At 41.8% G+C, this 20,485-nt stretch overlaps 1 long non-coding RNA gene across 1 annotated transcript, besides 1 other annotated feature; it reads right to left on the minus strand.

Annotated features, from left to right (window-relative positions):
• Positions 1-4,962: 4,962 nt before the first annotated feature.
• On the minus strand, positions 4,963-7,890 carry LOC124907980 (uncharacterized). Its single transcript, XR_007088085.1, has 2 exons — positions 7,683-7,890; positions 4,963-5,079 (listed from the first exon to the last, which is right to left on the minus strand). It is a non-coding gene; the product is annotated as an uncharacterized LOC124907980 (long non-coding RNA).
• Positions 14,213-14,507: an enhancer, noted in NCBI's record as "tiled region #14920; HepG2 Activating non-DNase unmatched - State 21:Repr". NCBI's record gives its function as "activates a minimal TATA promoter and a strong SV40 promoter by Sharpr-MPRA in HepG2 cells {active_cell/tissue: HepG2}" and the evidence as "EXISTENCE:reporter gene assay evidence [ECO:0000049][PMID:27701403]".

The raw sequence follows: 20,485 nt of genomic DNA on the forward strand, positions 1-20,485 counted from the left end.
AGAGATTGCTAGAAAAATATTTGATTCTCCAGATAGCCGAAATATAAACTTTTCTTTGTTATCTTTACCCTGTTCTTCTTCCTCTTTCCCCCAATCATCCTACTTCCTAACCCATTTGATGTCTTTTACAAAAGCCTGCCACTGACTTTCGTAGCTTTCATCCCTGTGAATGATGAGGAAATGTGCCAAATACCTGCTGATTTATCTGAAATGGGGCGTAAGGCTCATAAACTCAAAAATAAGATAAAAGAGAGCTGACAGTCCAGGCTAAATTCTACAATCCAATTTCAGATTCTTCCCAGTTGATCTCACAGCATATATGCAAGTGCACATACTTGAATACACACCACACCTCTGCCCATGATCACCTTTAAACAGTCATAAACAAAAATATACACAGATTGACTTCAGTAAACATGCTGTATAGGATGGGAGGACTGGCAGGAGGGAAGTAAAGAGAGAAGATATGTTCTCTAGTACTCCAGCATCTCACAGAGACACAGTGATAGCTCTCTTGTTAGCTTACGTGCTTGCTCTCCCAGTATTTCTCTTCAATATTATCTCATCAGAAAAAGTTGTATCAGTTAGCTATTGCTATGTCACAAACCACCACAAAACCAATCACTTGAAACAAAAAACATTTGCTATGTATCATGAGTCTACGTGTTGGATAGGCAGTTCTATTTATCTGATCCAGACTCAGCTAAGCTTCTTTGGGCTTACTCATGAATTTGCTATCAGCTGCAGAACAGAAGTGGACTGACTAGTCTAGGATGGTCTTAGCTGTGGAAACTTGGCCTTCCTCTGTGTCTCTCACATTCCTACAGCAAGTTAGCTCAGGGATATCTCGTGTTTATGGCAAACAAACAAGAATGGCAAGAAAGCAAACAGCAATTCACAAGTGCAAGTGTTTCTTAAGATTCTGCTTGCACCTTGTTTGCTAAGCCCCATTGGCCAAAGCAAGTCACACAGCTGAGCACAGAGAGAAAGGGCCAGTCAGAATCTCTTACCCAAAATGGTCGTAGTAAAAACTGGAAAATCAATCCAATTAATTTACCATTCCAGTTGTGCAACATTACGGAAATTTTAAAAATATTCATGTAATTGTTTGTCACATTATTATTATTATGAGACAGGGTCTTGCTCAGTTTCCCAGGCTGGAGTGCAGCGGCACAGTTACAGCTCACTGTAACCTCAAACACCTAGGCTTAAGTGATCCTCCCCCCACAGCCTCCCCAGTAGCTAGGTTGTTTGTCACATTATTGAATGATCCACAATCTAATTCTTACCCTTGATGGTGTAATTCATTCCTAGCGATAATTTCTTTTAATCCTTTATGTCAGCGTGTCTTCCTGAGACTCCAGTCAGCCTGGATTTGTCTGCAGGCCCAGGAAGGGGGATAGTGCAGTGGCCAGTTTTTAGTGTTCCCTTGTGGGTATATGCGTCCTGGCTTGGGGTTAGCCCTATGTCTTTTCTCCTTTAACTTTATGCCAGGATACAACTCAGAAGATTTACTCATTGAAGAGACTCTCACTTTTGAGCAGCAGAACTGGGCCTCCTTACTCACAGACTCTCACAGGCAGCCTAGGACTCCCGCTCTTGGGCCTCCAGGTTTTTTATGTGGATAATAGAAAGAATCAGCTCTCACTAGGAGCTTGAGGTATATGTGTATGTAGCAGGGGAGGACTGGGGAACATTAGCTTGAATATAGGACACTGTGCTAAATGTGTAAGAGTGAGACACTGGCTAGAATCCACCCTCTTAGCCATTTATCCAACTTATTGCTGTCTAAAAGATATAACCTTGTCATCAAGAATGGATAAAACAAGAAGGAATTAGATTAAATGGTAAAAATTATCTTGCAGTAAAAACTAAACAGCACTTACTGCTAAAATGTATCATATTAGAATAGTGGAGGTCTCCTTTTGAATAGTTTGAGGATCTAGAGACCTAGCCCTCTGTCTAGGTTGAGCTTGCTACAAGGGGTCGTTAGACAAAGGGGAAGTTCTGCTCAGACCTTCTGAATTATGTATGCTGAGAATGACCTTTTACCATCCCTAGCAGCTTCCACCTCCAGTAGCTGTTCTGCTCACCAGCCACTGCTTCTGACCTTTCCTAGACTCTGAGACAAGGCTAGAGTGACTTTCCCTCCTTGTTCCAGAGCACACAGAGGCTCCAGGGTGCATGTCCAGCCCTCACACCAACCGCGCAGCAGCTGAGAGCCTCACACCCATCAGCTTGCCTGTGGAGTGAGGTCACAAGATATTTCAGTCCTTTGAAAAAGGTGTGAACCCCAGCTAAAGGGGAGGAAGTGTTTTGAGAGCTCAGGTCCCAAGGTGAGATAGGACTGCAAGGTTTTTTGTTTTTGTTTTTTTTTTTTTTTGAGACAGAGTCTTGGTCTGTAGCCCAGGCTGGAGTGCAGTGCCGCGATCTCGGCTCACTGCAAGCTCCGCCTCCCGGGTTCACACTATTCTCCTGCCTCAGCCTCCGGAGTAGCTGGGACTACAGGCGCCCGCCACCACGCCCGGCTAATTTTTTTGTATTTTTAGTAGAGACGAGGTTTACACCCTGTTAGCCTAATGATCCGCCCGCCTTGGCCTCCCAAAGTGCTAGGATCACAGGCATGAGCCACCGCGCCCGGCCGATTTTTTTTCTCTTGCTTTAACATTAAGAGCATAAAAAAGGCCGGGCGCGGTGGCTCAAGCCTGTAATCCCAGCACTTTGGGAGGCCGAGGCGGGCAGATCGAGAGGTCAGGAGATCGAGACCATCCTGTCTAACACGGTGAAACCCCGTCTCTACTAAAAATACAAAAAATTAGCTGGGTGCGGTGGCGGGCGCCTGTAGTCCCAGCTACTCAGGAGGCTGAGGCAGGAGAATGGCGTGAACCCGGGAGGCGGAGCTTGCAGTGAGCCGAGATTGCGCCATTGCACTCCAGCCTGGGCGACAGAGCAAGACTCCATCTCAAAAATAAAAAAGCATAAAAAAGTTGTCCTATTACTTCAAGAAAACCATTTCCTTTGGAAAATATTAAAGTCTTTAACTTATCTTCACTTTAAAAATAAATGCATTTCGAAATACGCTGAGAATCCAAACATATCTTTTTCATCTTCTTACGTCATGGGCATTGGGAAATACTTAACAGCAGATGGAATAGTATTTTTAAATGCCAAAAGAAAATAACCATCAGCCTGGAATTCAATATTAAGTAAAAATATCTTTCAAAAGTGAGGGAGTAATAACAACTGCAGTCAGTAAACCTCCGTCAATGAGACAGACACCTGGAGAATCTTCCCTACATTGCCAGCACATTGACTTGGAATGGAACAGGAAAGGGACAGCTGTGGCATTGCTTCCTAGCACTAAGGAAACCAGGGGGTACTTTCTCACCAGGTCATTATCTCTGAAACTGAGGGCAGCTCTGAAGTCCAAATCCAGAGTGGCCCAGGTGTGGAAGAAGGAAAGGGAAGTCTTCAAATGGCTAGGGCCATCTTTCTATGGAGCGGTAGGCTGGAAGCTAATGATCGCTCCTGAAATGATGATGTTTGAGTTGAGCCAGGACAGCCTTGTGGTAGGACTACTGTACAGGTGATGGAAATATTTATCAGGAGGCTAGAAAATAAGCTTCTAGCACTCCTTTACCTCAAGGTTCTTGCATTCTGCTTTTGGCTTCGAAAGATAAGAGGTGGGAGTTGAATGGGAAACTGGCCTGCAGGGGATCTGGTTCCCATGCTCAGCCTTTGCTTTGAAAACCTCAAGTAGAACTAACAAAGTTTTACTCCTACACAGCCTTGAATAAACTCACCCCTCGTCATTCTCCTAGCCTCTTCTTCTCTTGTTCTTTTCAGGCTCCTCTGCTTGGTTCTCCAACTAAATTACCACTCCTTGCCCCTCCCTAAACTTTTCCCAGGCAGAATACCATCCCTGAGAAATGGCTATTCTACCTTTTTCTTCAAGGGTCTGGCCTCTCATTTTTTTCAGAAGCTTTTAAGAAGAGCCCTTTTCCATAAAGTCTTTTTCCTAAGCCAATAAGAACAATAAAAGGTAATAATTACTCCCTGTTCTTCCCTATCTAAATGTATCATAATACTCCTCCCTTACTGCTTCATCCCATCAAAACGTACACCACTGATTTCAACAAAATGTAAAAAATTCACTTTGCCTATTTGCATATATATTTCACTTGAGTTATACCAATGTCTGTCCTTTACATGCTGATATTTTAGGACCCTAGAGGCTTTTGGGATCATCTAACCTCAAGAGAAAATTATTCATCAGAAAAATTTAGATGAATCTACCCTGGACAGCTTTGGGGGCTGCCACAGTGAGATAATTTTTTTGTTCTCATGTGAACCCTGCTTACGAATTCATGCACGTAATTGCTGCTGCCATCTACCTGGCACTTTGCTGGTCTTAACTATACAGTCACCTGTTGTTTCACAGGTAATCAGACTTAGATTAGAAACAATGATAACCAAGGCCCATTTGCCCTAGGCAAAAGGCTGGCGGCAGGAGGCCTTAAAGAGATTTAACAGGCTCTGTGTTTTATTTCATCATGTATTCTATCTAGTATTTTAATGGGAATTTATGTGGTGTGGATATGGGATGGGGATGGAGGAGGTTATTAAGACGAGTGATGATGGACGGAAGGAAGTAACTGACTAGCTTCGTCTAAAGATTCGTCTGCTTCCCCATGCTCCGCCCTGCAGAAGATAATAGCCATCTGTTCTGCAAGTCCACTGGGGAATGAGCAAGGCAACACTGGTTAATAATGTGGCAAAGGAGAGTCAGGGTACACAATGAATTTCACAACTGACAAGTTCCTCGGACACTGGGACCATTGACCGAGTGCTCTGAGAAGTGGGGTGACATGCCCTTCTCTGGAGGCCATCAGACACATCTGTCTGGCAGGATATAAATGTGGTGCTACCCAGAGGGAGAAGAATGGACAAATGGATGCTGGGTTCATGCATTCCAGCCTGGAGATGTTTATTTTAAACGTCATTCCTATCCTGAGAAGGAGGTCTAGAAGTTGCTCCACCAAGGTTTTGAAGATGTCTTTCTCTTTTCTCTTAATTCTCCTGAAAAGAGAAAAGTAAAAGAATTTCTCAGGGAAGAAAGTATGATTTCTTTACACACAAGTTCATGTGGCTCCTACCGCAGCTATTCACACACACACACACACACACACACACACACACACCCCGTGGACCTAAAGACATAAACATTTACACTGGAAAGAAACAAGTCATGGCCCTTTCCTCTCACAAAATGTGTGTAGCATGGGGACTTTTTATTTTTCTCTTGACACACTTTAATGATAATCTAATAAAATAAGTCTAAAGAGATATAAATCAGAATCATAAACTAGAATGACTTGAAAGCATCTTGAAAATCATGTGGTGGATAAGGAAACTGAGTCACAGAGAAGTAGGATAAACTCAGGGTTACCAGAATGACCCAAGGCAGATGAGAAGGCATTAATAATAAATAAAACATGGAGAGGAGTAGAGAGCTCTTCAATCCCCTAGGAGAAGGGTTAAAATGCTGCCTTTAAAGCAATAAAAAGGAGAAATTGTTCCAATGGCTGGCAGTGATGTGCAAAAATCTGGAACATAGTTTTCCAAGCAAAGATATAAGTGGGACACGGAAGGGGCGAGGAAGCAATTGAGTTATATGCCCCTTAAAATTCACAGGTATCCTCTCCCTGGTCAATACACGCTCAAGCATCTGTGTTCCTTTAGAAACTCCTTCAGTTCACAGACTTGTAGATATTTAAACAGTTCATTTGCATCATATGCACATTTAACTCTAAAGCTGGGGGTGAAAGTAACTGTGCTGGATTTACTGAGCAATGGTACACTGTTCTCCAATGAAGAAACTTTCCAAAGGAGTTTCTATGCTAGTTTTACTTTCCACAGTTGGGGGACTTTTTTTTTTTTTTAACTTTAGGAAAGCAAAAGTTTTATAAGTAAATGTCTGAAACCCTGTGCAAGATGTAACTCTACTTTAATAGCTGAGTTCTCCGACTGGACTGATTGCCAAATAGCCAACACCAATCTGTTCAATATGACATTAAGACAGTTATTTTGCACTTAAGGAATCTTCTTTGCCAAGCGTATTCAAAGGGCTACATGACACAGTTAGTCATTGCAGACTGGTTTTCTGATTTGTATTAGACAAGAACAATCCCTCTGCCTGATGAGGACATCAACCCATTCTTGGGGGTCAGCTGCAGTACGGACAGCTGTGTTACCTGCATACGTCCTAGTGTTCTGTCCATGGCACCATGGCTGAAGAGTCCGGAGATCCGGCTTCTGGGCCAGAATCAATCATCAACCTTCTGCGTTATTCAGATAAACACTTTACCCAAGTACGCACTTCTCACTATCTAACAACAATTTCAAAGCATTTTGAAAAAAGTCCTAGCTGATGATTGGACACCCTCTATCAGAGGACTCTTTTATCAAGGTCCATTCAACTTTTGTTTTCTAAGAATCTGGATGATTTCAACTTTGAAAGGCAAAGCAAAACCAGCGGTGGGAGAGGCTTCTGGTTAGAGAATAGACTTTGAAATCAGACCTGCCTTTTATCACTTACTAGCAGTGCAACTATGGGTAAGTTTTTTATACCTACTAAGCATGTTCCTCAAATGTAACTTGGAGTAACTGCATTTTCTCTTCAAAGCTTTGGGGTATGTTTTTACTGAGACCTTCTCTAAAAAGTGCTTGGATAAAACCTGGCATATTGGAAATGTTCAAAAAATGCCCAGTATTTTCCTGATACTTTATTGATTTTCAAACAGATGAGATATATCATTTCACATGCCCCCAGCTGTTGATTCTCAATATAGCAATCATCTAAAATATGAATTGGATCATCTAAAATATGAATATGAGTCATCTAAAATATGAATTGGATCTTATTGGTCCTTGGCTCAGATCTCTACAGTGATTCTCCATGTCACTCAGAGTAGGAGCCAGACTCTTTACACAGGTTCTTCACCCCATCTCACTCCTTTTACCCCATCCCACACCACCTCCTCTGGTTGAGCGTGGCACAGAAGCCAGATCTCCACACTACATCTCCCACTACCCTTCCCTTGGGGTCCCTGCATTCCGGCCACCTTGACCTTGTTGCCTCAAGTCCTTCTACTGCTTGCAACACTTTCCCCAGGTATCCCCAAGGTCAAGGTCTCCTCAATCTTTTCAGGAATCAATTAAGAAGTTTCATTAACAGCAAGGATATCAACCAGCCCATATAAAGTATTAATAATAAGACCTACCTATCCTAGCGCCTTTATCCCTTGCACCCTGCTGTATCTTTCTCCAAATCACTTATCACCATCAAACATATCTTCACTACTTTGTTTTTAGTATCTCCTCAACTTGAAAGTTACTCTATAAGGGTAGTCACGCCCTTCATTTATTCACTGCAGCATTCCAGCACCTTGAACAATATTCCAGTGTTCTAGGCACTCCGTATCTATTTTTTGAAAGAAGTCATGCATGATTTTTTTTTAATAGAAGTGTGGTTCATCCTTGCCTCAAATCTTATATAGGCTCACGTCCGACTAACTCTGAGTCGAAAGCTTCCACCTCACCACCACCAGCACTGCTGCCCAGCACTTGCAGTCACTCAAAGTATTAGAATCCCAAGAAAAAGAAGGTGGGAGCATGCATACCTGATCTGGCAGCCATGATAGGGAGAGGAAGGTGGTCTTATAGCTGTCACCTAGCCTCATGCTCCTCCATCTCCGTCACCTGTGACTTTGTCATTATTTGCCGAGTTCACTACACCAGACTCTTCATTGCCCTACTAAGCCATGTGTCCTTGCTGCAGTCGACACTGGGTGTGGCTTTCTGATTGTTTTCATCATCTCATTCCTCCATCTGAGACAGCTCCTCCCGGGTGCTTGCAGCTTCAGTCCAGGACTTCGAGCTGTGTTCATGAACTCCTCTATCTCGTTTCTCTTTCCTGTGCAGAGTCTGCTCCCGCGTGCTACAGCCTCAGTCCTGATTCAGGCCCCTTCCTGCCTTCTACGTGTGCTCAGTGCATCCTTGCCTCCATGACTTTGTTCCTTCTGTTCTTCCAGAATGTTTTCTCTCTTCCTTCTGCCAATCCAAATCCACTCTAGATCTCAAGGCCAAACTCAAATCACACATCATCCAGAGAGAGTCTGCCCAGCAATTACTTCATGCTGTATTTATATGTTCTTGCTGTTAACAACTTCTCTACTCAAAGTTACCTACATAGTTCAGCCTGTAGCTAGTCTCTAATTCTATCATACAGTAACAGTAATAACTGAACAACAACTGCCATTTATTCAGCACTTATTGTGTTCCAAACATATATATTTTTATTTCAGTACCCATATTAATCTTGCAAGGTAAGAATCATCATCCCCATTTTGTAGTTTAAAAAAACTAAAGCTCATATAGGTTAAGTAGCTTGTCCCAAAACGGTAAATAATAGAGCCAAGATTCAGTTCCAATGTACCAGACTATGCCATGCACTCTTTTTTCTCTCTCATATACATGGTAAACTCCCTGGACGTTTAGCATAGCATAGCATAGCATTCAGCAGGTACTCAATAAATACTGGCTGGCTGTTTGGGCAACAAGGAGGATACACCTTAATTCAAATGTGCCTTGATGAAACCTTATCTTGCAGGAATGGTGAATAAGGGAATAAAATGCTTGCCCTGCCCTCTTCTTCCCTTTTCCTCTCTTCAGTGGAGATAATGAGAGCTGAACAATGAGCTCAGGGCCTTAAAGAAGGCAGTATGTTCTCCAGGCTCAACTGTGTCCCTTCAAAGAGCTAGGCTCTGCACCTGCCCTGCTCTCACCATCCCCAGCAGCCAAGCTGCATCACTGCCACTTTAGGTAGCCCTGGCTCACTGAAGGTACCAGTAACATACTCTGGGCTCCAGGATGAGAGGCCCAAGACATATATATGACCAAAAGGAGAGCAGGACAGACCATGCCAGAGCTTCCCTTCCCTGGTAGGCTTTAACCCCATGTCTGAGGCTGGGCACATGTTTCTCCTTTTCTTCTATCTACTGTATGCAAGAGACTTCACACACACCATCTCTTTTCAAAATCCTCACAGCCCCACCTGAGCCCAGGGGCTCATTTTCAAAATGCCAATATTATGTAGTGTCCCACCCAAAGTCACTAGACATTAGGGAAAATTCTAACGTGGGGCTGTCTCCACAGTCCATGGGCTTTCTATGAAGCCAGATCATCTGCTTATAGCAGAAGCCATGAGAGCTGGGTTCTTTATTCTAGCTCAGGACTCTCTTCATCCTGGGAGTCCTCAGTGTTTCCCTCTATAAAATGCCTATGCAAACCCACTCCCTTGCACCTCCAGTCCCTTCCTTCTTCATAGGTTACTTCTGGAACTTGTATATCATAATATGCAAATGCACCAAGCACCTGATGAGAACAAGAGAGGAGAAAATGGTTGCTAACTTTCTGTTTGTGTATCTACATGTTTGCGTCTTACTCCCTCAACTACCCTAGGATTGTTGATGTAGGGACCATCATGCACCCACTTTTCATAACTACTCCCTCACCCTCACCCCAAGTCCCAGGCAGCTTGAGGAATACAGAAAGTGCTCAAGGGATATTGATAGTGTAGATGCTCCAAATATGGTGGTATGGTAGATCTTTTAGACCAACCCTTTTTCCATGGAAAGCAAAGCTCAGACAGGCACAGGGCTGTGAGGCTGGCATCAGAGCCCTTGGCTGCTGTTTCATAGCACAGGACTCTGTGTGCCATCAGATTGGTCTGTACAGAGTTTTCCAGACAACAAAAGCCAAGGGGTACAAGGGTGCAGCCAGTTTTAGCTGTGGGCTGGTTTCTTGTTCTGGGCTAGCAGATCTTTCATTTTGTAGACTTTTATAATTTTTCCTACTATGTTTACGTTTTGTGAAATAGTACCAGGTAAGATGTCGAAGGAATATTGATAAGGAAACCTAGTAAAACAAGATACCCTGATCTTTTCAGTGTTAAATCCCAATGTATCTTGGCAGGAGAGAGAACTTGAAAGTTAAGACAAATTAGGGTCTGACGTGATGATAATCATGCTTCAAACACAGAGTATAAGGCATTTTCACATGACTTTGTTGTTGCTCCTTTCCATAACCCTGTAAGCCAGGTAAGGCATAGATTATCTCCATTTTACAGATAAATATCCAAGGGCCTAAACAGTCATACATTCACCTAACCATGGCAAAACCTCTGCCCTGATCTCCAGCCCGGGCAGTCAGGCAGGGGATGGGGAGGAGAAGCCCCTACTTCCCCGGGAGAAGGAGATCAGGCTGCAGGGTGGAGGACAGGTCAGGGAAGGTGAGTGGGATGGAGCTGCAGTTTCAGAGCTGCTGGCCAGGCAGGACCCCTCCTCCTTCTCTTCCATGCCCGTACCCCAGGACCTCTTTGTCCCATTGCACTTGCTTGCTTTGAGCTCAGCACGGAAGGCCCTGCCTGCTTCCAAGTTGGCTGTTTACTGGTGGGAACTGGGTGCCAGAGTTTTCTGCTGGTGGCTGCTCTTTCCCGGATTCTCCTGTGGTATCATATTTTCTCAGCTTGTTCTTAAACTCATCTTACTGAACCTCCCCATACTCACTGACCCTTTCTCAGGTCACCAAAAGTGAGTTCGCTGAGGACTCTAAAATCGCCGTGCCTGTGTATCTCTCTAGAGAGGAAAGCTTTTCCTCCCCTGGAAAAGAGACTCAGCTCAGTCCCTCCAGCCCCTTTTCTAACCCCCTCTCTACCCCAGTGCTTAGATATGGAATCTTACTGAAATTCACCATACCTTGAGATCCCAGTTCTATAATCACATGAGCTTTGTAGGTTAGGTCTACATCCCACACCTACCTCCATTTTACAGCTCAAGGATATAGAGGGATTCCTGCCCTAGCTCTAATGGCCAGTTAATGGTACATCTAGTTGAGAACTCCACATTTACAGGTTCATCTCATTCCATTTGCCAGTTACCATGCTTTTGCGCTCCCCATGCCACCCTCTTCCTGAAGACCCCCAGTGTGTCCTGGGCGTAATATTCCAATGCGTTTGCAGGTTTCCTGCTCTGCCTGGATTACCCTTCCCCCATCTTTCTCATATAAAATTTCTGTTTAAAAATTAGTCTTGAGTCACAGCTTCTCTGAAGCCTCCATCTACAGAGTGAATTAGATAAACTTCTCTCATTTTTTAGTGTATTTTTTGTTGTTGTTACAGATACAACAGTTTACCACACTGCAGTTTGGGGAGCCTTGCCTTGTTTTTCTCAGTAGATTGTAAGCACCTTGAAGGCAGAGTTTGCATCTCATCTATTCCTCTGTTATATCCCTTGACTCTGTCTAGGTCAAGGTTGTGCTCCTGTTAGGACCTCCATATATGATGCTACCTGAGCAGCTGGCAGGGGATAGCAGGGAGACTGCACATCAGAGAATTCAGGAGACTATCCATCGAAGGAAGTAAAGTCCCTCATACCAAAGGCTCACCACTATCCCATGAAGAATACCCTATTAACCACCAGCCTTAGAAGTTAACACACAAAAACTACAAATGACATACAGGGATATTATTCCAGTATGGTTTCTATCAATTAAGATATTTAGTAATGCCTGTTTGTCATAGTATAAATATGTTAATTTTGTATAATAACAAGAGCTAATATTTATTGGGCTCATTTTGAGCAATTTGTAGGTGTTATTTTATTGAATTCTTGCAACTACTTTGCAAGGCGAAAATTACCATTGTTATTTTACAGATAAAGAGACTGTGGCTCAGAAAATACAAGCAACTTATAAAAGAGAAATATCTGGACCACAAAGAGTCAACTCATAGCTTTATCTAAGGCTCCAGGGCTCTGAGTGAGTAGATCAGGTTAACAGCTCCCTTTACCATCTGCTGCCTAAGTAAGGCTGATTTCCGTTTTCAATGTAATGTTCTTCTATGTGCAGCATGCTTATAGCATTTTGTTTAATTATGTATTATTCCCAAATGGGGATGAAATTTATGGGTTATAAAAGTAGCACATGTTCACTGTAAAATATTCAACAATATGGAAAAGAATAAAGTAGACTGCTGTACAATTATTTCAGCACCTTGAGATATCCATTGTTAATATTGTGGTAGGTGTCCATTCAGAAGTTTTTCTGTGCACATACATACATATATACATACATTTTCCTTAAGTGGAGATATGGCATACATGTTTTGTAACTTTCTCTTTATTTCCTTAATATATGGTAGCCATATTTCCATTGTTAAGGCATTTGGATTCATATCTTTTTTTTTCTTTTTTTTTTTTTTTTTTTTTTTTTTGACAGAGTCTCACTCTGTCGCCCAGGCTGGAGTGCAGTGGCATGATCTCGGCTCACTGCAACCTCCGCCTCCCGGGTTCAAGTGATTCTCCTCCCTCAGCCTCCTGAGTAGCTGGGACTACAGGCGCATGCCACCATGCCCGGCTAATTTTTTGTATTTTTAATAGGGATGGGGTTTCACCGTGTTAGCCAGGATGGTCTCGATCTCCTGACATCGTGATCCACCCACCTCAGCCTCTCAAAGTGTTAGGATTACAGGCGTGAGCCACCGCACCCGGCCCTAGACTCATATCATTTTTAATAGGTGGTAGGATTCCAATAAATGGATATACCATAATGAGACATATGTGTTGTTTCCCATGTGTTGTTATTATAAACAATGCTATGATGGAAAATTATGAAAGTTCATCTTTTCCATTTTGGCCAGGCTATGAGGTAACCACGAAAGCCTATGTTTTAATTTGTATTTCTTTGATCACTAGCAAGGATGAACATTTGTTTGTAAGTTGACTGACGTAATATAGTATTTCTTTCATGAATTACCTCTTTTAATTTCTGTAATTTTTTCTTATTTGGGTGTCTCCCATTTTCTTCTTTGTTTCTAGGAGCTACTTAAATAATATAGTTGGCTCCGTCCTCTCATATATGTTGCAAAACATGGATACAAGTAACCTCAGAGATTGTCTAGTTTAATCCTCCCATTTTATGAGTTATTAAACTGTCTAGAGAAAGGAGGTGACTCACCAAGGTGTCTTGGTTATATCCCCGATTTCTTCAGTGACTCATTAAGATTTATTGACCACTGCTATTTCTAATATACTACCCTCCTTCTTCTCATAAAGCAAAATATACTTTGAATTGACCAGGAATTGCTATTATAGAGGCCATCCTGTGGAGAATGAAAAATAACACTTTACGTATTTTTGTCTTCTCTGTCTTACGGCTTTTTCCACCCAAGGATTCTTTTTACTAGCCAGCAGAGGAAGGAAGCTCTGGGGAGGAGATAGCTTTACAAACAGTGCTATAGATGTTCTTCTATTTAGAGAAAGGGAACTAGACATGTAACAACCCTCAGTGGTCTTTGCAAGCCTGATGAAAACTTCTTGGGCTTCACAATTATTTTAATTAACTAAATTATTTTAATTAACTAAAATTTGTTATAACATTTTTCATATGGTTGTGTGGAGGGTTTCTTGGGTGCTCTTTTTTGTATTGATTGAGAGCTACTGTATAAAGTTGCTAATAGGCCAGGCGAGGTGGCTCACGCCTGTAATCCCAACACTTTGGGAGGCTGAGGCAGGTCAGGAGATCGAGACCATCCTAGCTAACATGGTGAAACCCCGTCTCTACTAAAAATACAAAAAATTAGTCAGGTGTGGTGGTACACGCCTGTAGTCTCAGCTACTCCTGAGGCTGAGGCAGGAGAATCTCTTGAACCCGGGAGGCAGAGGTCGCAGTGAGCCAAGATCATGCCACTGCACTTCAGCCTGGGCAACAGAGAGAGTCTTTGTCTCAAAAAAAAAAAAAAAAAAAAAAGAAGGAGGAAAAAAAAGAAAGTTGCTAATAGCTCAGTGCCTCTCCACTGGGAGGATATTTGAAGGCTGCTATCTTGATCTGATGCATACTGCAACTGTCTGTCATGCCTTTCCAAACTGGAATTGCATTTGCTTCCCCCTTTGTTGCAGGGAGGCGAATGGCAAAACCCAAAATAAGGAATCATGACAAACAGTATGTACACTTGCCTCTCAGTTTTTTTGGATAGACTTCTTATGCTTCATTTATTCTGGAGAAAAATATTATTAGTACAAGAGCTGGGAAGCGGAACTGGGTTGAGGAAGCTATAATAAAGGTCAATTGGAAGAGAAAATAAGGAAGTGGGGGTAAGGAAGCCATCAAAGTGCATCAGTCGCTAATAGATGATTCCGTACTTCCTTTCTTAGGAAAGATTGGGGCATGTGGAAAACTGCTTGTCCATTTGTGCACTGCAGAAAGGGAGGGGGAGGAGACCCAGACTCCCTAAAAGGGGAAAAAACATCAGGGGAGAAGTGAAGCAGGTGTTTCCTGCTGCCTGTGCCTCAGAGGAAAGCTTGAAGTCCTGGGAGGGGGTTTTCCACAGCGGCACAAATCAGGGGAAGCCATATTTTTCCAGCAGCCTAATTCAGAGGTCAGACACGTCAGCCATCACCTCTCATGTTCATCTCTCTTTCTCTTGCTCTCTCTCTCTCTCTCTCTCTCTCTCTCTTTCTCTCTGTCTCTTTTCTCTCTCTTTCTCTCTCTCCCCTCCTAGGCTCAAAGATCTGAAAAACTAGTAAAAAGTTTATACAGAGGTAGCGTATAGACAATTTCTTTCAGTTTCTCTCTACCCTCCTTTTTCAGGTTATCTGCTTTTTTTGTTTACTTGTCCATGTCAATCAATCTTTATTTTATTTTTCTCTTTGTACTTAATGGGAGTGTTCATATTAATGCCTAGCATGTGCCTTTCTTCATTTAAAATAAAAAGGAAAACAAAAGATAAAGTGAAATATCCAGCAGTATATTATCTTGAACTTGCACAATGTGACACTAAAAGGTACTGGGCCATTTAGCTCTGCTCCTCTACAGAATTAGTTATAAAACCAAGACATTTATGGAAAGCAATTTTTAATGATACATTGATATGTTAGCTATGTCTTTTAAAATTACTCTCTCTCTGTCACCCCTTCTCCTTTTTCTCTCCCTCTAACAGTAAAGTATCTAGGAAAATAACAGTAAAATTGGTGTGTGTATGTGTGTGCTCACATGCACATCATGTGAAAACATTTGAAAACAACTCAATGATTTAAAAATATATACTTGTCTATTTTAGATTAAGTCAGAGTAAAAAGAGAAAAAAGGGAAGCAGGAGGATGAAGGGAATGAGGAAAAGAGAAAACGAGAGGTAGAAAAGAGAGAGGAGAAAGGAAGGAGATGAGTTGGGGCACTCAAATACAAAGAGAAATCGCCATATATCATCCAGATGTTTTGTCTACAGCAGACCAAACATCAGGCTTTCGGGAAACATTTGGAAGACACAATGCTCCTTTCACTACACAGACAACTGTTGACAGTCCTATCGCCTCCTTCCCTGCGTGTATGTGTCTATCCCTTTCAAGCCTTTTTGTGGTCAAATTATAAAGGCCTGTTTAGTGGGTGGGGTGACGTCACACTGACCACAAAAGCTTATATTTCCTGCTACTAAATACACAGCCCCTGCTGACGAAGTGATCATTACAGAGAGAGCTTGTTCTGCCGAGGTCACCCCAAAGTGGGGATGAAGGCACTGGGGCGGGGGCTCGGTTGAGAGAGCAGAGCCATTATTCCCAAGTGTGTCTGCCTGCCTGCTGATCCTCATCTTGCTAGAACCAAAAGATGAAAATAGAAGTCTCTTTGTGCTTCCTCCAGGCCTTTGTCTCTAAGGATGCTGGGGCACACTGGGACACAACATGGTGGGAAAAAGGAAAAGACAAAAATTCAGGTCTTTGATTCCAGTTTCCTCATTTATAAGCTCAGTGATTTTACCTCTCCGGGTTGAATCCTGAAAATCTCCGTTTTACTAAAGAGAAAAGAACCTCATCCAGGGATCACACGGGAGCATGTATTTTAAAGTGACTGGTTTTAGTTTTGAGGGCAGCTGCTATCTTATAGTGATTTCTTTAGTGTTCCCACTTTCCTTGTGCTGATTACAAACGGTGGTTCTCTCTTCTGAGAGGAGAGAGTAAAGGGTAGGTTTTGTTTTTACGCATTTCTTTCTATTTTATTTATTTATTTTTGCAGAGGTCATGGGTGAACAATTTTTTTAATGAAGGAAAATAAATGAATTAACGTGGTGACTTGTCCAGTTAAGCCAAAGAAGCCACACCAAGTGTTAGAGGACCACAGAGGAACCAGAGAGGATCTGGGTAAGATCTCACAGGAAGAGTAGCATCTGGGTTGGGTGTAGTGCATAGGAGTTTGGCAGGCAGAGGGTTATGATCATAATTACCATCCCCAGGAACCCCTAAGTATCCCCTGGCATTAAACCAGAGTGGTCTGAGGCCTTATGTTGTAAGTCCTTGGCACTCCAAACCTCAGATGAAACAAAAATTGATGGATGTGCTTTTTGAATAGTTCACTCAATCAGGTTAATTTTGACGTTTAAAGAAGCAGAAAACCACTGCTCAGCCAAGATCCTGCAGAACTTTCCTATTCTCCATCCTAAGCCCTTGGTGAAGTAGAACTCAAATTCCCTACATTTTTCTTTCTTTTATTTTTCCCCCCTCTTGTGAGGGATGATTACAAGTAAGGCCTCAAACCCAAAAAGGACTTGGAAACAAGTCCACGTGGTATTCAGTGAAGGAAATCTTTTGCTTTTATCCATGTAATTTAGGTGGTCTGGACAGCCAGTCTGGATACTCTAACTGCTGGCAAGATTCTGAAGGCCAAGGTTGTGTAGGTTGGTTCTCTATATAAACCGAAGAATTGAAAAACTGCCCCGTTCCTTTGGGCCATGTGTGTCCACCAGGCACTTATTGTGTGTGCACTTTCTGCCAGGCCACTGGCTAACTTTAAGGGCCTCCAGTGGGCCTAACGCCATGTGCAGTTCACCTGATCTGAGGCTGTGGCGGGCTGGTGTGGCTCAGTTATTCCCCACAAGCTGCCATCCCCTGGCTTAGACATAAAGCCTTAGCTCCATTAATCATCCTTTTCCTGGAGCATACTAGATGAGCTCCTGGCTGGGAGTAGAACTATCATGTTCATTTCCTAATTTTAAAAAGTGTGTGTTTGCTAACAGCTGGAAGGCAGGCTAGAAAGGCAGCTTCAAAGTCCCACTGTGGGGAAAATAATGCTAAGAAGATCCTGGGGCACTTTCTCTTGAACTCACCTCCCCTGTAGCACTGGGGACTGTCCTAGAAGATGAAGTCTGTGCTGGGGGTAGTGAGGGAGGGCCCAAGGCTTGCAAAGAGGATGGACACTGTCAATTTGGGCTGGGCTTAGCCATTAAAAGTAGATCTCTGAAAACAGAACTGGGGGAGTGAAGATGGAAGTTATGCTGTTAAGCTAATGAAAGAGTCAAGAAATAGAGAATATGGAGAAATCAGTGGCCAGAGCCCAGAAAAATAACAATTATGTGAAAAAAAAATGTCATTTAAAAGGTAGAAGCCAAGGAACTTGATGAAAACCAAGTCAAATAGCCAAGATATCTTTAACAGACTCAACATAGCTGACACTGAGAAGAACCTAAAAACTGAGGCAATGTTATAAATAGATCAATTCCAGAAAAAGCAAGACTCCTGGGGAGAAGGGTTGGGATGGAATCAGAACCAAAAGGTGAGAGCTCTCATTGTTCCACGAGGGAAGGACAGAGTCTCAGAGCAATGGCTGGGTCAAACGTGACAAGGATAATGGAAGTAAAATGATCAAAGTTAGAAAGGTTCTGACATAGTACAATAACAGAGGCCATGCAATGTAAACATATATCAAAACATCACATTTCAAGCTGGGTGCAGTGGTGCACTCCTGTATTCCCAATTACTCAGGAGGCTGAAGCAGGAGGATTGCTTGAGCCCAGAAATGAAAGTTCAGCCTGGGCAACATAGTGAGATCCCATCGAGAGAGAGAGAGAGAATCACTTTATACCTCATGAATATATAATATATATTTTATTTTTAAAAAGAAAATTTAAAAACAAATGCAGGTCATGGATCCAGAACTCAGAATGTAGGTAAATTAATAAGAAACTAGAAAGAAAAGACCATCTTTCTTAATGATTTCAACTGGCTCTGTAGGAAACCACCCAGGTGTTCATTGTCTCCAAAGAGCTAAACCTTGCCTCAGAAAAATGACCTTCTCCTATCTTTCCTGCTGCAGCAAGAACCTCTGGTTTAACCAATTAGGTAAGTCATTTATATGACACTCAATCTGAATTATTCTGTCTGTCTGTCTGTCTATCAATTTCTCTATCTGTCTATCATCTTTAGGGAAAAAGTATATCCCATGCACAGTTATGATAACAAAGGAGTCATCTTCTATACAATATTAAACATAACTATTGAAAAGTTAAAAACTCAAGCCTTCAGTTTAGGGTTTGATTTTCATGATCCAAAGCAGCATTCTTGACTGATTGTTTTTCCTTGTGTTGATTCATATTTGTCTGAGTGAATTTGATTGGCTGTTTTGGAATTGCGTAAGATACTTCTTCATTGACCCAAATAATCTGTTTGTTGATTTTATTCAGACTAACATATAACTTAATTGACTAAATTTTTGCCTTTCTCAAATGGTGTGGTGATTACATAGACTCAATCTGTATTTTTGAGAAGTTTTTAAGTATGCTTTCATTAGCCTGAGACTAGTGTTCCTGAAACCTTGTAAAGTACGGAGCACTTCAGGAGCAGAGAGAATGAATACCTTGGGTGATGCCCAGTGTAAATCTCATGGTCTGGAGGGAATCTTGTGGCCAATATGAGCCTCGTCAGATGTCAGGCTTTCCAAAAGTAGAAGTGGAAGGCTCCTGTTTTTCTAACTCCTGCTGTTCCCCTGACTATCACTATGTTGTCCATATTGTTTTCAGAACTCACAGCTTAAAGAACCACCTTGCTTTTCTTAGAACTTTGGGGGTGGACCTTACTCCTTTTTACTTTTTTTTTTTTTCAAATTGCATGTGGATTCTACTGTATTTAGCATAACTCAAGCTTAGCATTTGAACATGTTTCATAGCCAATAGCTTTGCACATCCTCCATGATTGCATACTGTGTTTCAGACACAGATGTAGGACATGCAACTGATGTGGCCATCACTAATGTCAATACTGACCCTTGCTCTGTGCTTTGGGCCCTAAGTAGAGCTAGGTCCATGTAGTAGTCTAGTGCCCTCTTGTGGCTTTCAAACTAAGAGTCTTGAGCTATTTTGTAGAATTAGAGCTATTTGTAGAATCACGAGTTTGAGAAGACCACTGTGAAGTTACGTCCTGCCTTCTCTCCCTTAGTAACACTACCCACCTCCTGCAAAGCACAGTCAGTGATGGGAGACATGTTCTACTCTGAGCTAAGAAAAACACTTTGGAATGTGGAGATCAGGGTACTGGAGTTTAATAGAGACCTTTAGAACTTACTATACTGTGGATACATAGCATATGACAAATAAATGTTAATTGAAATTCCTTTGCCAAATTGGCGATACCTCCCAGTTTTTCCATTCACTCTTAAACTTATTCATTCAACAATTTCTCCAATGACATGATTTCAAATAATTTGATATGTTTAATTTGAAGGCAAGAGAATTATAAGGAATATATCAAGTGATCTCAAAAGTTTGAAGATCTGTAATGTGACCAAATCAAGTATCCTACATGGCTCCAGAGAGACACACATTAAGGTTGTAGATATTGGTTAGATATAAGGAAGAACTTTTTAGTGACTGCAATTGTAGAACCCTGAAACATGTCTAGGAATAAACTTCTCATTGCACTGAAACAGTTTAGCAGGGATGTATTAATTTTTGAAATAGACATTTTAAAGAGAAGTTTCTCCCATGGACTAATTGATCTTTGATAAAAATCTTAGATTTTTAGAATCTAAGATTTTGATTTTTATTAAAAATCTAAGATTTTAATAAAGATGTTTTAGATTTTTAGTCTACAAATGTATTTAAGAAAAAGCACAGCTTCCTTTGACTAGTCAATTAAGTCCCACAGCTAAGCAGTCGTAAGGAGCAGAAAAAAATAACTGTTGGGTACTAGGCATAGTACCTGGGTGACAAAATAATCTGTACAACAAATCCCTATGACATGAGTTTACCTATATAACAAACCTGCACATGTACCCCCAAATCTAAAAGTTTAAAAAAGTCTTCTCTAATGTTTAATATGAAACTTTCCCATATGAACATTGCAAGTTCATAACTACCATCTCCATTTCTAGGAAATCAAATTGTGTGTGTGTGTGTGTGTGTGTGTGTGTGTGTGTGTGTGTGTGTATACAGGTGTATGTTTACCCAAACCCATTTTTATAACCTATCTGGTTTTGATTTTCTAGATTGTAATAGGACTTTTGACATTTTCTTCAAAACCTGACATTTTGTCACTTAACTGCTTTTCATTTTCAGCAAGCCTTTCACATTGATGTCTAATTGTGTATAATGGCCAATTACACACTGGAA

The sequence above is a fragment of the Homo sapiens genome, chromosome 2 (genome assembly GCF_000001405.40).
Source record: "Homo sapiens chromosome 2, GRCh38.p14 Primary Assembly".
Lineage (NCBI taxonomy): Eukaryota > Metazoa > Chordata > Mammalia > Primates > Hominidae > Homo > Homo sapiens.